General features: G+C 46.9%; 1 protein-coding gene across 4 annotated transcripts in view, besides 4 other annotated features; it reads left to right on the top strand.

Annotated features, from left to right (window-relative positions):
* Nucleotides 7,317–7,496: an enhancer, noted in NCBI's record as "active region_17175". NCBI's record gives its function as "activates an Ori minimal core promoter by ATAC-STARR-seq in GM12878 lymphoblastoid cells {active_cell/tissue: GM12878}" and the evidence as "EXISTENCE:reporter gene assay evidence [ECO:0000049][PMID:35858748]".
* Nucleotides 7,667–7,796: a silencer, noted in NCBI's record as "silent region_12377". NCBI's record gives its function as "represses an Ori minimal core promoter by ATAC-STARR-seq in GM12878 lymphoblastoid cells {active_cell/tissue: GM12878}" and the evidence as "EXISTENCE:reporter gene assay evidence [ECO:0000049][PMID:35858748]".
* Nucleotides 7,827–8,256: a silencer, noted in NCBI's record as "silent region_12376". NCBI's record gives its function as "represses an Ori minimal core promoter by ATAC-STARR-seq in GM12878 lymphoblastoid cells {active_cell/tissue: GM12878}" and the evidence as "EXISTENCE:reporter gene assay evidence [ECO:0000049][PMID:35858748]".
* Nucleotides 7,863–18,300, top strand: part of AP1S3 (adaptor related protein complex 1 subunit sigma 3) — an 82,257-nt gene continuing 71,819 nt past the window's right edge. For all 4 annotated transcript variants that reach the window (NR_110906.2, NR_110905.2, XM_011510600.4 and 1 more), the window contains exon 1: nt 7,863–7,997. Coding sequence is in view for 2 of the 4 variants with exons in the window: in XM_011510600.4 (XP_011508902.1) it covers nt 7,995–7,997 (3 nt within the window). In the remaining 2 variants the exon portion in view is untranslated. The remainder of the gene's footprint in view (nt 7,998–18,300) is intronic.
* Nucleotides 8,367–8,456: an enhancer, noted in NCBI's record as "active region_17174". NCBI's record gives its function as "activates an Ori minimal core promoter by ATAC-STARR-seq in GM12878 lymphoblastoid cells {active_cell/tissue: GM12878}" and the evidence as "EXISTENCE:reporter gene assay evidence [ECO:0000049][PMID:35858748]".

The raw sequence follows: 18,300 nt of genomic DNA, 5'->3' as shown, positions 1-18,300 counted from the left end.
AATAAACATCTCTAAAGCGTGATCTTGCCACTTCACTGCTTGTGTAAGCCTTAAATGATCTCCATTTCTTGGTCTCCCATTCTGAATCCTTAATGAGACCTCCAAGGACCTGCGTGATCCACCCCCTTCCTGAACTCTGGCTTTCTTGCTGCCATATTCTGTGGCCACTCCCACTCCAGGTCTCTTGCTCATGACCAGGCTGTCTCCTCTGCTTCAATTGCTTTTTGTATTTCATTTCTGCTCCAGGCCAGCTTAACTCTCGCTCATTCCTCAGGCCCAAGTTTATACTTCTGTTCCCTGACTCTTTTATGTCCTGAATCAACTTGGTCACAAGTGAACCCAAATTGGTTCAGGTAACTGCAAAGTCCAGGGGTTAGCATCAGGTTTGATGTAGGCCTCAAAAAGTGTCACTAGGACCTGTGTGTCTCTCCACCTCTTAGTCCAATCCTTGGTGTTGGCTCCATAGAGAAGCTCAGCCTTCATGGTGCTAAACTGGCTGCAGCAGCTGCAGCTTCTGCCTTCACATTCAAGCCTAACAGGAAGAGTGGATGCACTCCAAGAGGGTTCCACAAAATGTCCCAGAATTTAGTCTTTTTTTTTTTTTTTCTGAGACAGAGTCTCACTCTGTCGCTTAGGCTGAAGTGCAATGGTGCAATCTCAGCTCACTGCAACTTCTGCCTCCCAGGTTCAAGTGATTCTCCTGCCTCAGCCTCCTGAGTAGTTGGAATTACAGGTGCCCACCACCATGCCCAGCTAATTTTTGTGTTTTTAGTAGAGATGGGGTTTTGCCATTTTGGTCAGGCGGGTCTCGAACTCCTGACCTCAGGTGATCCGTCCGCCTCGGCCTCCCAAAATGCTGGGATGACAGGCGTGAGCCACCGCGCCCAGCCCAGAATTTAGTCTTATTGGCTTGAATTATTTGACTCTGGGAATATGCTTATTTTAGAACCAATCATTATTGCTGTGGGAAAGCAATATTCTGATTGGCCAGGAGAGCATCATGTGCCACCCCTAAAGTTAAGAGTCTATGTGTGGGTTGGCTCCCCAAACCCAAACTGAAAATTACAGGAAGCAGGGGAATGGATGCTGGAGAGGCAAACAGGAAATGTCCACCAGCAATTTCTTTGTTGCATGTTTGCTGGCATCTTATCCTTTCCTTTCAGAGCATTCATGATAATTAAACATTTATGTATGTTATTATTTATTTCATATTTGTCTTCCCCCATAACACTGTACATCCACCCTGAGAGGGACCACGACTCCTCTCTTCACTGTTCTATGCCCAGTGCGAAGCACAGTTCTTATCACAGAGTAGATGTTCAAACAATATTTGTTCCATAACTATGCTACTACAAGAAACCCAGTAGGATGCAAAAGAGTACATACAGTAGGTGTCTCAGTCCGTTCATGCTGCTATAACAGAATGCCTGAGACTGGATAATTTATAAGGAATAGAAATTGATTTATCACCGAGCATGGTGGCTCATGCCTGTAATCTCAGCAATTTGGGAGGCTGAGGCGGGCGGATCACGAGGTCAGGAGATCGAGACTATCCTGGCCAACATGGTGAAACCCCATCTCTACTAAAAAAATACAAAAATTAGCTGGGCATGGTGGCACGCCTTTGTAATCCCAGCTACTTGGGAAGCTGAGGCAGGGGAATCCCTTGAACCCGGGAGGCGGAGGTTGCAGTGAGCCAAGATTGCACCACTGCACACCAGCCTGGTGACAGAGCAAGACTCTTGCTCAAAAAAAAAAAAAAAAAAAAAAATTGATTTCTCACAGTTCTGGAGGAGGCTGGAAGTCCAAGATCAAGGCATCAGCAGGTTCAACGTCTGGTGAGGACTCAGTCTCTATTCCAAGATGGTGCCTTGTTGCTGCATCCTCCAGGGGGGCGAAAGTTGAGTCCTCACGTGGTGGAAGGGATGGAAGGCTAAAAAGGGACTGAGCTAGTTTCCTCCAGCCTTTTGGTAAGGTACTAATCCATTAATCCACTAATCATCACTTCTCCAAAGGCCCCACCTCTTAAAACTACCACAGTGGGGATTAAGTTTCAACATGAAATTTAGAGGGAACTCTCATTCAAACTACAGCAGTAGAATTTCAATTTTGGTTTTAAAAACAAAATTTCAGCTGGGCACGGTGGCTCACGCCTGTAATCCCAGCACTTTGGGAGGCTGAGGCAGGTGGATTGCTTGAGCTCAGGAGTTCAGCACCAGCCTGGGCAACATGGCAAAACCCTGTCTCTAAGAAAAATATAAAGATTAGCCAGGTGTGGTGGTGCATGCCTGTAGTCCCAGCTACATGGGGGGCTGAGGCAGGAAGATCACTTGAACCAGGGAGGTCAAGGCTGCAGTGAGGTGAGATCATGCTATTGCACTCCAGCCTGGGAACCAAAGTGAGACCCTGCACACACACACACACACACACACACACACACACACACACACACACACACACAATCTTTCTGTCCTTTTCTATCTCTATAGAATACAAATATGCAAGGAAATAAACCAAATATAACAATAGTTATTTCTTATTGGTAGAATTAGTATTATTATTATTTGGAGACACAGTCTTGCTCTGTGCCCAGTGGCACAATCTCGGCTCACTGCAACCTCTGCCTCTCGGGTTCAAGCAATTCTCTTGCTTCAGTCTCCTGAGTAGCTGGGATTACAAGCATGCGCCACCACACCCGGCTAATTTTTGTATTTTTAGTAGAGACAGGGTTTCACCATGTTGGCCAGGCTGGTCTCGAACTCCCGACCTCAGGCATCCACCTGCCTCAGCTTCCCAAAGTGCTGGAATTACAGGCGTGAGCCACCTCACCTGGCCTCTTGTTGGCAGAAATAGAGTAAGGTTTTATTTTATTTTTATGTTTTATTTTTTGAGATGGAGCTTTGTTCTTGTTGCCCAGGCTAGAGTGCAATAGCGTGGTCTCAGCTCACTGCAACCCTTGCTTCCTGGGTTCAAGAGATTCTCTTGCCTCAGCCTCCCAAGTAGCTGTGATTACCGGCATCCACCACTATGTCTGGCTAATTTTTGTATTCAGTAGAGATGGGGTTTCACTATGTTGGCCAGGCTAGTCTCGAATTCCTAACCTCAGGTGATCCGCTAGCCTCAGCCTCCCAAAGTGCTGGGATTAGAGGGGTGAGCCACTGTGCCCAGCCTAGAGTGAGGTTTTAAAATAACACTTTTCTGTGTTTTCCAAATCTGCAATGAACCTATATTATTTTATAATTAAAAATTTTCTGAAAATATTCTTTAGAAATATATTAAGTAGAGTTTTTCCATTTGGAATAATAGGCCCTCTTTTGAAAAGTAAAGGGGGTTTCTAAAGAGCATAAGGCCTCATACTAAAAGTTTCACCATGACAAGATGAATTTCTGAATGCTGCAGAAGGGATTACTGGAGATGTTGATTACTTAAGACATTAATAAGAGGGCATTAAAGAACAGCAGGACCAGGCTTCAATTAATGCCTGTGAAGGCACTGCATAAGCCGACTTTGAAGTTGGCCTCTCCTTTGCTTCTTTCAGTTTCTTAAACTCACAGCTTGATCTATCTCAATTTCTGTGAAGTCAGTATTTTGGTTTATAGATTATTATTATTTTACTTTATTATCAGGTCCCTAACTTGCTCTTCTCCCTTGCTGTGGACTTGATGGTGGCTTTTGCTGCATTCTCTCTGCATCTTCTGCTAATATTTAAATATAGAATGATCTGAGAAGTGAAACTCCTAAATCAAGTTGACCAAATGCCAGGGCATTGTTTTATGAGTAAATGTACACACACAGAATCACATGCACCAGCTCATAAACAACCTAACCGGAACCATGTAACACACTGTACTTGTCTTCTAGGACATTAGATTTTGAATCTAAAAGCCTCTTTAGGATCTGACCAGGGAACTCCTCTTTAGACTGGTACATCTTGAGTGATAGGGCCTCTGGGTCCTCCCTGGGGTTTTGCTATTTGTGGGCCACGTGTGGAGTCAGGAGTTTGAACAGAAGCAAAGATGGGATACAGAAGTCAAGACTAAGGCTGGGTGTGGTGTCCCATGCTTGTAATCCCAGCACTTTGGGAGGCCAAGACAGGAGGATCCGTTGAGGCCAGGGATTCTCGAGATCAACCTGGGCAACATAGTAAGATCCCATCTCTACAGAATTTTTTTTTTAAAGGAGAAGTCAAAGCTTAAAAATGCATGTTATTCTTCTGAGACAAATGACTGATGAAATAAACACTGCTTAACTCTCACTGTTGCGTTCTGAGTAGGTCTGTCAGGGGTAGGGCTTTAGGGGGAACCATCTTGAATCTTAGTGCCTTGATTCTAGGCTTATCCCTGCCTCTTATTAGCTTCTTTTTACACTTAGTTTATTATTATTATTTTTAAAATAGAGATGGGGTCTTCCCATGTTGCCCAGACTGATCTCAAACTCCCGAACTTAAGCAGTCCTCCTGCCTCGGCCTCCCAAAGCGCTGGGATTACAAGCCTGAGCCACTGTGCCCGGCCTGCCTCTTATTATTGCTGTTGAGCCTCTGAGCCTCAGGCTTTCATCTGTACCATGGCCACAGTGCTTCCTTTCTTACGGATTGTTTTGGGGGCAGCCAAGATAACCCTGTGAAGTGTCCAGCTCACTGCAGGCCTCCCTCTTCGGTGATTTGGGGTATGGTGTGAGAATCTGGAGGAAAAAACACTGGGTGGCAGAGGCCCCAGAGAGCATCCTCTGCCCATCTCAGCCAGGCCAGGAGGAAAGGCAAAGGACACTAATAATTTTTAAGTTACCTGCCCCCCTCAACCTCTACATCTTTAATTACACCCCCTCCAACCATAAGCCACACAGTAAGGGAAACTTCTCCTGCTTTATTTTTTTTAATTTTTATTTTTTGAGATGTAGTTTAGCTCTTGTTGCCCAGGCTGGAGTGCAATGGCACAATCTCGGCTCACTGCAACCTCCATCTCCCAGGTTCAAGCCATTCTCTTAGCCTCCCAAGTAGCTGGGCTTACAGGCATGTGCCACCATGCCTGGCTAATTTTTTGTATTTAGTAGAGACAGGGTTTCACCATGTTAGTCAGGCTGGTCTCAAACTCCTGACCTCAGGTGATCCACCTGCCTCAGCCTCCCAAAGTGCTGGGATTACAGGCATGAGCCATCGCTCCTGGCCTTTCCTGCTTTAATATTTGACTTAACTGTCATGGCAAGAGCACTGAGATGATTTCTTTAGCTTTTTTTTTTTTTTTTCCTTTTTTCTTCTGCGAGAATCTCGTAGTGTCGTCCAGGCTGGAGTACAGTGGGGATCTCGGCTCACTGCAAACTCCGCCTCCAGGGTTCAAACAATTCTCCTGCCTCAGCCTCCTGAGTAGCTGGGATTATAGGCACCCGCCACCACACCCAGCTAATTTTTGTATTAGGGGTTTCACCATTTTGGCCAGGTTGGTCTTGAACGCCTGACATCAGGTGATCCCCCCGCCTCAGTCTCCCAAAGTCCTGGGGTTACAGGCATGAGCCACGGCGCCTGGCCTGAGATTTCTTTAGCTTTGTAATTCACCTTTAGTAATTCCATTTCTTTCCCACTAGCAAAGAAACCCTTACAGCACAAGGCTCTGGATGGTGGCACAGAGCTGGGCCCTGCCCTGAAGTTACCTAGAAAGGAGGAGAAGCACAAAGATTAGATTCTATCTAGTTAGATAAAGCATGATGTACTGAGAAAGGGAAGGAACAGACCCTGGGGGAAGAACATAGGAGTTAAAAAGTAGCTGTCCTAGATTCACTTTTCTTTCAGGAAGCAAAATCATCCCATCGCCTGGGGTTTAACTGTTGTCAAATAGTCCTCTTCCAATGCCCCCGGCAGAATGCCACAAGTCCAGGTTTGAGAGCTTTGAGGCTGGAGGCTGTGGCTCTCCTGGGGGCTTGCAGTGATGCCCTAATGTAGAGAACACTCATTGCCTCTGGCCCCTGCCCACCTCTAGGCCTCCTGGCACTTAACTCACATAGAGGCCTTTTTTGAAGTGTTTCCAGAAGGACTTTTTTTTCTTCTTCTTCAGAGCGCTGGCTTCTCACATCCAAGTCTTCTGTCACCTCCCCAGGGGGCACTTACCTGACCACTCAGCTAAATCAATGTAGCTTCCCTGTGCCCATCCGAGGAACTCAAATATCTCCTTCTTAGCACTCATCTTAATTTCTTATATTTTATTTACTTGTTTATTATGTGTTGTCCCACAAGAGACGTAAGCTCCAGGAGACAGACCACCTGTTTGTTCCCAGCTGGGTCCCCCAGGCTCCTGTTGTAGGGCCTGGCCTAGAGTGATGAATATTTGCAGTGTGAATGCAGGGGTGGATGGAGTTTCCCATATTTTCAGTCACCTGGGTGGGCCTACATCCCTAGGAAGGTACACAACACATCCTGGGAAGGACTTTCACTGATTTGGGGTTCCAGGGACCACCCAGGAAATGACATTTTTTTTTTCAGACTGAGTCTCACTCTGTTACCTAGGCTGGATGATCTCAGCTCACTGCAACCTTTGTCTCCCGGGTTCAAGCGATTCTCTCCTGCCTCAGCCTCCCTAGTAGCTGGGACTACAGGCGTGTGCCACCACGCCCAGCTAAATTTTGTATTTTTAGTAGAGACGGCGTTTCACCATGTTGGCCAGGCTTGTCTCGAACTTCTGGTCTCAAGCGATCCGCCCACCTGGGCCTCCCAAAGTGTTGGGATTACAGGCATGAACCATCACGCCTGGCCCAGGAAATGATTCTTAACTTTTGCAGGGTCTAGGATCTCTTTAGCTATTTGATAAAACCAGTGGACTCCCTTTCTCAAAAACATGAATATGCATTAAAAACTCTGCTTACATCTAGTCTATCTGGTAAATATAATTAAAAGAAAAAAGAAAAAACTCTGTTTACAGCTTGGGGGTTTAGAGACTCTCAACGCCCTAGATTTAAGAAAAGTCAAGGGGAGGAGAGATTGGAGAACGAACTTTCTACACCACAACTTCTTAGGAGAGACTTCTTAAAAGGGGGTCGTGCTGCCGGGCGCAGTGGCTCATGCCTGTAATCCCAGCACTTTGGGAGGCCGAGGCGGGTGGATCACCCTGAACGCAGGAGGCGGAGGTTGCAGGGAGCCGAGATCGCCCCACTGCACTCCAGACGGGGCGACAGAGCGACACTCCGTCTCTAAATAAATAAATAAATAAATAAATAAATAAATAAATAAATAAATAAATGGGGGCCTGCTTAAAATGATCTTTGCCCTTAGACTGCAGAGCTTACTTTTTAAAAAGTGAAATGGGGGCAGAAGGGGATAAGAAAACGCTTCTAGTTCTTTCTCTTCCAACTGCTCCCTCCCTAGGAGGCTTAGGATAAGGCAGCCCCCGGCACTTTCTGCGAGTGTATCGGAAGTATCTTTGCCAGGTTTGATAAACGTTTGCGGAAGGAATACAGGACACACTCGCGCGGCAGAATCGCGAAAAGTCCCCGGTGTTCTCCGCGCAGGGAGTTCCCCGCGCAGGGAGTTCCTAGCGGGCCACGCGCTCTCGCCTGACCACCCGCGCCGAGCTGCGGGCTGTCGGGGTACAGACGCCCGCGCGCGCAGGTGCATTCGCTCCAGGTGCGGCCGGCTCGGGGCGGGAACAGCTGCAGCCGAGGCGGGGGCGGGGAGGGGGTACAGAGGAGAGGCAGAAAGGAGGGAAGAGGAGGAGGAGGAGGAGAAGGGAGGAGAAAGGGGAAAGGAAGAAAGAAGGAGAGCAGGAGGGCGAGGAGCGGGGGGAGCGGGGAGGAGGGCGCGGGGAGGAGGCAGCGGGGAGGAGCGTGCAGGGAGGAGGCAGCCGCGCTGGGAGGAGTCTGCACACTTTCAGTGCCAGGGCATTGTGGGAAGCAGCCATGGTCTAAGCCGGGCGCCTCACCTGTCAGCCGCACCGGCTCCAGCGCTCGCCTCTCGCCCTCGCTTCTCCAGCGCTCCTTGCTCGCAAGGCGGGGGAGGCGGCGGCCCAGCCACGATGGTGAGTGCGGGGGAACCGCCGGCCCGGGTAGGCGGTGGGGGCGCTCGCGCTCCGGGGAGGCACCTGGGGCGTCCGGGCCGGGCGCGCGGCCGGGTGGGGGTGCGGGCCGAGTCCCGCCTGGCCACCCGAACCGTGCGTCCCTGTGGCCCCGCTGCCCCAGACGGTGCGGACGCGCCAGGATCGCTTGCCCGGGATTCCTGCGGCAACGCGGCGCCGCGGCGCCGCGGCTCCATTCATTCATTCGATCCGCCTTAGCCGAGTGCTTAGTCTGTGCCGGGCTCGGTGCTGGGCGCTGGGGATGTCGCGGGGGACCAGGAGGAGCCCCTGTTCTCCAGGAAGCTTACCTTCCAGGAGGGGGATGCGGAGGGAGGGACACGTCCAATATACAAGTAAAATGAAGAGAACTTCTAAAGTAAGAAGCGCTGTAAAGTCTCAAATACAACCGGGTGGAGTGGCAACTTTTGATTTGGCAAAGCCTCTTCAAGGACATGACATTCTAGCTGCTGGAGGTCCTGGAGGGGCGCTACAGGTGGATTAGAGAGAGCAAAGCGGAGGGGAGAAGGCCTTGTTTGTGGCAGGAGAGGTGGGCTTCTGCCAGGTGAGGCGGGTTTTTATAGGCCAAAATAAGGAGTTTGGTTTTGGTTCCAACTGAGTAGGGGAAACCTCGGGGACGTTTTAGCAAGAAAACTGACCTTACCCGTTGTGCACTTTTGTTTTTTTGAGACTGATCTCGCTCTGTCGCCCAGGCTGAAGTGCAGTGGTGTGGTCTCGGCTCTGCCTCCCGGGTTCAAGCGATTCTCCTGCCTCAGCCTCCCGAGTAACGGGGATTACAGGCGTGTGCCACCACACCCAGCTAATTTTTGTATTTTTAGTAGAGACGGGGTTTCACCATGTTGGCCAGGCTGGTCTCGAACTCCTGACCTCAGGTGATCCGCCTGCCTCGGCCTCCCAAAGTGTAGGGATTACAGGGGTGAGCCACTGCACCCGGCATGGTGTGCAGTTTGGCTGTGGTTGGAGAATGGACTGGGGTGTGTAAGGGCAGGGGATAGGGGGTCAGGTTGGAAGCTGAGGCCGGCCGCAGCCCTGCTGATGAGAGATCTGGTGACCTGCACTTGGGTGGAAGCGATAGCTCAGGCTCCTCTTGCTCTTGCCTGCTGTTTAGGGGCAGCCTTTTAAGAGTGTGGTGGTCTGAACGTCACTAGTCCCACTTCCCCAAGTGTGTTACCACTTCCCAAATCCGCAGAAGGGAAGTGACCTGCACCCTGTGGGCCCACCGGAGGCAGGAGTGGGTGGGCCACGTGGGCTAAGAAAGTTGATCAACAAAGAGAGCCGGGGAGTGCTGAGCACCTGGCCAGCAAGACCGCAGTTGCTGGTTTCTGTTAAAGGTTTGGCTGCACACACTAGCGGCATCATTTTTGTCTGTTGAGGGTTCCTTGTAAATACAGCGTGATGCAAAAACAATGCTGTAAATAATGGAGCAGGTTTCTTGGCTTGCTCAAGTTTCCCAAGGAACAAGGTGACAGATGCCCAGTCCACCAGTGTAATTTGCCTAACAGAGGCTGGAATAAGGCCCTGCGTTTCTGAGTCATCAAAGGCTGCTTTTGTGCTGAGGAATGGGCCAAGGTTTGGTCTATAAGGAAAAGCTGCTCCTCTGGACAATACCTGTGGTGGAGTTTTATTTTTTCTTGCTGGTGTCATATGTGTGATGAGTTGATCAGAAATGTGGGAAGTTTCTCCAGCTTTTCTACCAGTTTTTGCTAAATGGGAAACATTATTATTATTTTTTTTTCTTCGAGACGGAATCTTGCTCTGTCACCCAGGCTGAAGTGCAGTGGCATGATCTTGGCTCACTGCAACCTCCATCTCCCGAGTTCAAGCAATTCTCCTGCCTCAGCCTCCTAAGTAGCTGGGATTACAGGCGCCCGCCACCACGCCTAGCTAATTTTTGTATTTTTAGTAGAGACGGGGTTTTGCCATGTTGGCCAGGCTGGTCTCAAACTCCTGACCTCGTGATCCACCTGCATCGGCCTCCCAAAGTGCTGGCATTACAGGCATGAGCCACCGCACCTGGCGGGGAAACATTAATGTTATTGGGCATTTGTGATAAGACAAGCAGGATGTCCTGCTCTTTATATTCACGATCTCATTCAATCCTTGCAACAAACAATTGAGGTTAAATCTGTTATGCTCATTGCATTTTAGCTACTCTGAGCTATTCTAGCAGTATGGCCTTGGACAATTCCTTGACCTCTCTGTCTCAGTTTGCCCATTTGAAAAATGGAGATAATATCTCCTAACTCATAAGGCAGAGGTTCTGAAAGTGTGACCTGGGTACCCCCAGCAGTCCCCAAGACTTTTACTGGAGGTCTGCAAGGTCAAAACTATTTTCATAATAATACTAAGATATTAATTTTCCCATTTCATTCTCATTCTCACAAGACTACAGTGAAGTTTTCTTGTGTCTACATAAGCTGAGATAGTACAACAGATTGAACACAGATGCAGATAGGAAAGTCCAACTGTCTTTGATAAGCCCAGACATTAAGGAGATTTGCAAAATTGTAAAACAGTGCCATGCTTTTCACTAATTTTTTTTTTGCTTTGGAAAAATATTGTTATTGGTCATAAAAATGTTATTTATGTTTAATGTGTAATAGGTTTACTATTGTTTTTTCTTTTTATTTATTTATTTTTGAGACAGGGTCTCTGTGTCGCCCAAGCTGAGTGCAGTGGTGTGATCACAGCTCACAGCAGCCTCAACCTCCTAGGCTCCAGCAACCCTCCTACCTCAGCTTCTTGAGTAGCTGGGACTGTAGGCATGTCCCACCATGCCCAGCTATTTATTTATTTATTTATTTTGAGACAAGGCTTGTTCTATCACCCAGAGTAGAGTGCAGTAGCATGAACATGGCTTACTGCAGCCTCAACCCAGTGGACTCAAGGCATCCTCCTACCTCAGCCTTCCATGTAGCTGGGACCACAGGTGTGTGCCATCATGCCCAGGTAATTTTTTGATTTTTGTATAAATGAGGTCTTACTTTGTTGCCTAGGCTGGTCTTGAACTCCTGAACTCATGTAATATTCCCACCTTGTCCTCCCAAAGTGCTGAGATTATAGGCATGAACAATTGGGCCCAGTGGAATTTTTTACTTTTTGTAGAAATGAAGCCTACCTATGTTGCCCAAGTCGTATTATTTTAAAATATGTTAATATCTATTTTTTCATTTTAATTTCAAATACAATAAATATCAGTGGATATAACCCACATAAACAAAAAGGTCTTTGGGATTGGCAGGCGGATCACCTGAAGTCAGGAATTTGAGACCAGCCTGATCAACATGGAGAAACACTGTCTCTACTAAAAATACAAAATTAGCTGGGTGTGGTGGCGCATGCCTATAATCCCAGCTACTTGGGAGGCTGAGGCAGGAGAATCGCTTGAACCCGTGAGGTGGAGGTTGTGGTGAGCCAAGATCGTGCCATTGCACTCCAGCCTGGGCAACAAGAACAAAACTCCATCTCAAATAAATAAATAAATAAATAAATAAATAAATAAATAAATAAAAAGAGTGTAAAGGCATCCAAAAAGTTTCATAATCACTGTCCCGGAGTTTAACAGGTACCATAAGTGAATGCGTGTGAAGGCGCTTCAAACAGCTTTGCCATTGTAAATGCTCAGTAACCATCACCTCTCCTCTGTTATTACCTTCAAGTTGTAAGAAAGAATTGGCGGCCCTCGCTAGTGCCCAGCTGCTCTGAGACCTTTGTTGAGGCTCACTGTGTAACTCCCTGTCTTTCCTGCTGCTTCATTCCTGACTTTTGCTGACTTTTATGCTAGGAAACTGGTAGATGCTTACTGGCAGATCTAGGCACCTAGTACTTTACACACAGAAAATGGTTCTTGATTCCATGGTGCCAGTGACCCTGGTTTCTGGCACAGAGATTTCATATCTGGTGCATGTTGGGACTGTGTTTGTATCTGGATCACACTGTTTGAAGCAACTGTGTACTCCATCTCACCTTTTAGAAATCTCTACCTTGGAAAACAGTGTTAGGGCTATTGCACTTCAGGAATCCCACGAGCTGAGCCCAGTGTGTTTAAAAAGGCTTATGGGGCAGAATGTACTGTTGAATGGTTGGCAATGAAGGAGGATTATGTTGTTTATGTATGTATGTATGTATGTATGTATGTATGTATGTATGTATTTTGCCTTTAACAAGATAGCTGTGGGGATGTATACAGTGACATTTGAAATGCTTTGGGGGTACTTTTAATAAAAGCACAAGTGGACTTTGATGTATGTAGTCCATGTGCTTCTGAAAAGTTGAGGTGACACAAAACCACATTGTGAACAAAACAGTAGAGCCACCCATTGAAAGAAACTCAAATGTTGATCCCTTTGGAAACATGAATAACCGTCTTTTTGTGTTGCAAATTCCGTTCTCATAATGTATGTTATTTATGTAAAGTAGGATAGATTTATGCTAAAAAAAAATCAAGGATTTTTTTTGGGTGTACGATTTAAAATCTGACTTGAGAGAATTTACCAAACAGAACTGGAAAGCCATTTCTTATTCAGAAGATATTTAAGTTTGAAATAGTAGGAGTACACCCTTCTCCTAAAAAAAAAAAAAAAAAAGAAAAAAGAAAAAAAATTCCTTTGTTCATTTTAATCTCAGGGAGTTGTTGAGGGTGAGGGTGGAAAAACCGAACTATGAACCTGTAGGTCCTGCCACGCCCCCTTCCCCTTCTGTATCAATTTTATGTTCTGAAGCTTGAATGAATTGTAATAAGCATGTAATGATTTTGGCAATTTAAGTTCCAGTTTGAGGGTGAAGCGGTCTATTACACTAATGAGTGCTTTCCTCCTCGGAGACTTGGTCTAGGCTGCTGGCCAGCAGTTAGTGTAAGATCGAGGGCTTTGGGATCAGGGGAGAAATGACCCTTTGTGGTGTTCAGTTGTCCCAAGAGGGCTCTCCTCCACTGGCCCTTCCCACAGGTCTCCCAAAAACACCAGTGAGACTTGTATTTACTCCTCACCAGGATTGTTACTACCGAGTTTCTATCACTCGTTTTGTTTGTTTGTTTGTTTGTGGTGAGTATTGTCAGCTGCTGATAACTTTTGTGTGGCATTTTGCCAACAACAGCTGTAAGGAAGCAGCACACTGTGTATTTGCTGAACGGTGTTGTCAATGTCTGCCCTTTTGGGTCCCGTGAATTATTTCATTTTAAGACATAATGATAAAATTACTCCCCTTTCCAACACACACACACACACACACACACACACACACACACACACACACACACAGAGAGAAAACTCCTTTAATAATCCCCAGAATAAGTCCTTTTTTTGATTTTTTTTTTTTTGAGACGGAGTCTTACTCTGTCTCCCAGGCTGGAGTGCAGTGGCACGATCTCTGCTCACTGCAAGCGCTGCCTCCCGGGTTCACGCCATTCTCCTGCCTCAGCCTCCTGAGTAGCTGGGACTACAGGCTCCCGCCACCATGCCCAGCTAATTTTTTTGTATTTTTAATGGAGATGGGGTTTCACCGTGTTAGCCAGGATGGTCTTGATCTCCTGACCTCGTGATCTGCCCGCCTCAGCCTCCCAAAGTGCTGGGATTACAGGCATGAGCCACCGTGCCCGGCCAACAGAACAAGTACTTCTTGATGTCTTCATGAATTGTCCTTTTGATATTGTTTTGTTGTTACGATAGCCAGTGTTTCTCCCAGAGACCTGAAACTTCACTGTGGTTCTGTGGTTCATTTCTTCCCTGGGGCCTGTCTTTTTCTCTCTCAGAGTCTCCCTTTCTGGTATACCTAGTTTTCCCCGATACTTTCTCTGTTTAACCTGAAGTATCCAGGAAAACTCCCTTTAAACCATTTGAAGCTCCCCCATAATCTATGACATGAAAGAATGTACACAAATGTCAGAGGCAAATGCTCCTAAATTCTCTCAGTGGCATATGAAACTATCCAGCCAGCACCCTGACTAAGGAAATGTATTTCTTGACCGGGCACGGTGGCTCACGCCTGTAATCTTAACACTTTGGGAGGCCAAGGTGTGTGGATTGCTTGAGTCTGGAAGTTCGAGACCAGCCCAGGCAACATGGCGAAACCCCATCTCTAGAAAAAATACAGAAAGTATTAGCTGGGCGTGGTAGTGCACCCATGTAGTCCCAGCTATTTGAGAGGCTGAGATGAGAGGATCACCTGAGCCCAGGAAGTCAAGGCTGCAGTGAGCCATGATTGTGCCACTGCACTCCAGCCTTGGTGACAGAGTGAGATCCTATCTCCAAAAGAGAAAGGGGCCAGGGTTGGAGGCTCATGCCAGCACTTTGGGAGGCTGAGGAGGGAGGATTGCTTGAGCCCAGGAGTTTGAGACCAGTGAGACTCAGTCTCTATTAAAAAGAAAAAAAAATGTATTTCTTGTATCGCTGCTAGCAATAAGGTAAATTAAAAATCTTAACAATGAAAAGGGGATACTGAAAATCATTCAAGTTAGAAATAGAATGTTATCGACAATCATGAGGAAACTGGCCTCTGCCAACATCCCTCTTCTAAAAACTTTCCTACAGGCATCTCTGGGCTCTGAAATTCCTGGCTCTCAGTAGCTTCTGAAACTTTAGTCTTTCAGTGCGATGGGGCATGGACCTAGTACAGTCAGTTAAGAATAAGTGCACAAGAGATTCTGTATTTAATGTCCTTGTTGGATCTTCTCTAACAGGATTTTCTGGGCTGGTAAGAAATGATTGGTGTGGGTTGAAGCTCAGTGGACACTGAAATGCTACAGGAGACTTCCTTCCACACTGGGTATATCAAAGATGAGGAATGAAGGCATGGTTTGCAAACTGGGGTGCCCATACCTTCTGCGTACTCATCCTTGTAGACAGGGGTTGTCAAGGGATAAATTTGACTCATCCCTGGAGTATTGTTCAGAATGATAATTTTTTTTTTTTTTTTTTTGAGAGAGAGTCTCACTCTGTCACCCAGGCTGGAGTGCAGTGGCGTAATCTCGGCTCACTGCAACCTCTGCCTCCCAGGTTCAAGCAATTCTCCTGCCTCAGTCTCCTGAGTAGCTGGGACTACAGGTGCATGCCAACACGCCCGGCTAATTTTTGTATTTTTGGTAGAGATAGGGTTTCACTATGTTGGCCAGGCTGGTCTTGAACTCCTGACCTCAAGTGATCTGCCTGCCTCGGCCTCCCAAAGTGCTAGGATTATAGGTGTGATCCACAGCGCCCAGCCGAGAAAATATTTTTGTATTAACACACTAATATATTTGGCTCCCGGATGCAAAATTCATACATACAAACCCTAAGACATATATTGTTTATGGCTTGCAGCTTAGGCTACCCTCCTGGTCTCATGAGGCCACCTGCCTTTCCTGCTGTTACAGTTATTTGGATAGAAAATTTGGAGAGACAATTTACTAAAGCAGGGGACAGTGAACTTTCTCCGTAAAAGGCCAGATAGTAAATATTTTAGGCTTTGTGGACCCTACAGTCTTTCAGTATTCCTCAACTCTTCTGTTGTAGAGTGAAAGTGCCACGGACAAGACACAAATGGATGGAGCTGTGTTTTTTTGTTTTTTTTTTGTTTTTTTTTGAGATGGAGTCTCACTCTGTTGCCCAGGCTGGAGCACAGTGGTGTGATCTCAGCTCACTGCAACCTCTGCCTCCTGGGTTCAAGTGATACTCCTGCCTCAGTCTCCCAAGTAGCTGGGATTACAGGTGCCCACCACCTTACCCAGCTAATTTTTAACTTTTTTTTGAGATGGAGTTTCATTCTTGTTGCCCAGGCTGGAGTGCAATGGTGTGATCTTGGCTTATCACAACCTCTGCTTCCTGGGTTCAAGTGATTCTCCTGCCTCAGCCTCCTGAGAGACAAGGTTTCTCCATGTTGGTCAGACTGGTCTCGAACTCCCGACCTCAAGTGATCTCCCCCGCCTTGGCCTCCCAAGCTAATTTTTGTATTTTTAGTAGAGATAGGGTTTTGCCACGTTGGCCAGGCTAGTCTTGAACTCCTGACCTCAGGTGATCCTCCCGCCTTGGTCTCCCAAAGTGTTGGGATTATAGACATGAGCCACTGTGCCTGGCTGGAGCTGTGTTTTAATAAAACTTTATTTACAACAACAGGCAGAAGGCCAGATTTGGCCTGTAAGTCATGGCTTATTGACCCATTTTCTAGGGCAGCTTCCACTAACTCATCATAGGTATATTGGACAAATAATTTGGATGCCTGCCCCATGACAGGCAGGACTGGCTACCTAATTTGCAGTGCCCAGTGCAAAATGAAAATGCAGGGTCCTGGCTGGGTGCAGTGGCTCATGCCTGTAATCCCAGCACTTTGGGAGGCCAAGGCTGGTGGATCACCACGTCAGGAGTTCAAGACCAGCTTGGCCAAGATGGTGAAGCCCCATCTGTACTAAAAATACAAAAACTAGCTGGGTGCAGTGGCAGGCGCCTGTAATCCCAGCTAGTCGGGAGGCTGAGAATCGCTTGAACCCGGAGGGTGGAGGTTGCAGTGAGCCGAGATCGCGCCACTGCACTCCAGCCTGGGTGACAGAGTGAGACTCAGTCTCAAAAAAATAAAATAAAAATAAAATGTAGGATCCCTTTTTCAAAGTTTACCAGGAATTTCAAGATAGTGACAGCAGAGCATTAAACCAAGTTTTGGGTCCTTCTGAATGCAGGGCTTCTCCATGTAATGACCCTGTGTCCACAGAAACCAGCCATGGGTCTGGGCCTCAGAGAGTGTGTTGAACAAGCCAGAAGCCACCTGCTTGCACGGAGCTCACATTCTTGGTGAGGAGTTCTCTCAACTCTGTAAATATTTTGGATCAATCACACAGGAGAAGAATTTGATATTAAGCATTCTTGAGTCATCTCAGTTTTATTTCCTGGGAAGTTGCAGGTGGGCCATGTGGGGACCCAGATGTGGCACATGGGGTAGGGGGCAGTGTTGGCCTTGACAAAAAATTAGCTGGGCATGGTGGTGCACGCCTATAACCCCGGTTACTCGGGAGGCTGAGGCAAGAGAATCGCTTGAGCCTGGGAGGCAGAGGTTGCAGTGAGCCGAGATTGTGCCACTGCACTCCAGCCTGGGCAACAGAGTGAGAGTCTGTCTCAAAAAAAAAAAAAAAAAAAGAGAGAGAGGAGAATGTGGTGAGGGGAATGACCCCAGGGCCCTGTGTGAGCGCTTTGATCTTAGATACTTGGTTCATCCCATTTCATGAGATCACCTGAGCGTGGAATAAGACTGCTTGGTTCAATCAGCACAGGGCCTGGCACCTGGAACATATTTCATAAATGCTAGCCAGGGCTATTTCTTTTTCTTTTCTTCTTCTTCTTTTTTTTTTTTTTTTTTTTTTTTTTTTTTTTTTTAGATGAAGTCTTGCTCTTGTACCCCAGGCTGGAGTGCAATGACACGATCTTGGCTCACTGCAACCTCTACCTCCTGGGTTCAAGCAATTCTCCTGCCTCAGCCTCCTGAGTAGCTGAGATTATAGGCACCTGCTACCACACCCAGCTAATTTTTGTATTTTAAGTAGGACGTGATTTCACCATGTTGGCCAGGCTGGTCCTGAACTCCTGACCTCAGGTGATCAGCCCGCCTTGGCCTCCCAAAGTGATGGGATTACAGTGCCCAGCCTAGCCAGGGCTATTTCTAAGAGAAATGGGAAAAGCTAATGAAAATACTTTAGATTTTTTTTTTTCCTCTGAGAAATTTATTTAAACTGATGAAATAAACAAAATCGGCCGGGCATAGTGGCTCATGCCTATAATCTCAGCACTTTGGGAGGGTGAGGTGGGTAGATCACTTGAGATCAGGAGTTCGAGACCAGCCAGGCCAACATGGTAAAGCCCCGTTTCTACTGAAAATAAAAAAAAATGTAGCTGGGTGTGGTGGCAAACCCCTGTAATCCCAGTTACTTCGGAGGTTGAGGCAGGAGAATAGCTTGAACCTAGGAGGTGGAGGTTGCAGTGAACTGAGATCGTGCCACTGCACTCCAACCTGGGCGACAAAGTGAGACTCTATCTCAAAACAAAACAAAATTATGGACTGCAGATATTGGGGAGGTAGGGGAAGGTAAGGGTTACAGTAATATCACATTTTTTTTTAAAGTATGATTCAGAAGTCTGTATAGAACTTTTTAATTTTGTTGTATAAACAAGTACTTACCTTCAGTTTCATTACTAAGAAGTCATGTCTTCAGTTCTAAGTCCACTACATAAGAGAGTCCCGCCTTTCAAAGTCCATTCCGTCTCACGATAATCTAGTCTACATCAACCATCTT

This window comes from Homo sapiens, chromosome 2 (assembly GCF_000001405.40).
Source record: "Homo sapiens chromosome 2, GRCh38.p14 Primary Assembly".
NCBI classification, from domain to species: domain Eukaryota; kingdom Metazoa; phylum Chordata; class Mammalia; order Primates; family Hominidae; genus Homo; species Homo sapiens.
This window is presented reverse-complemented; position numbering and strand designations above follow the sequence as displayed.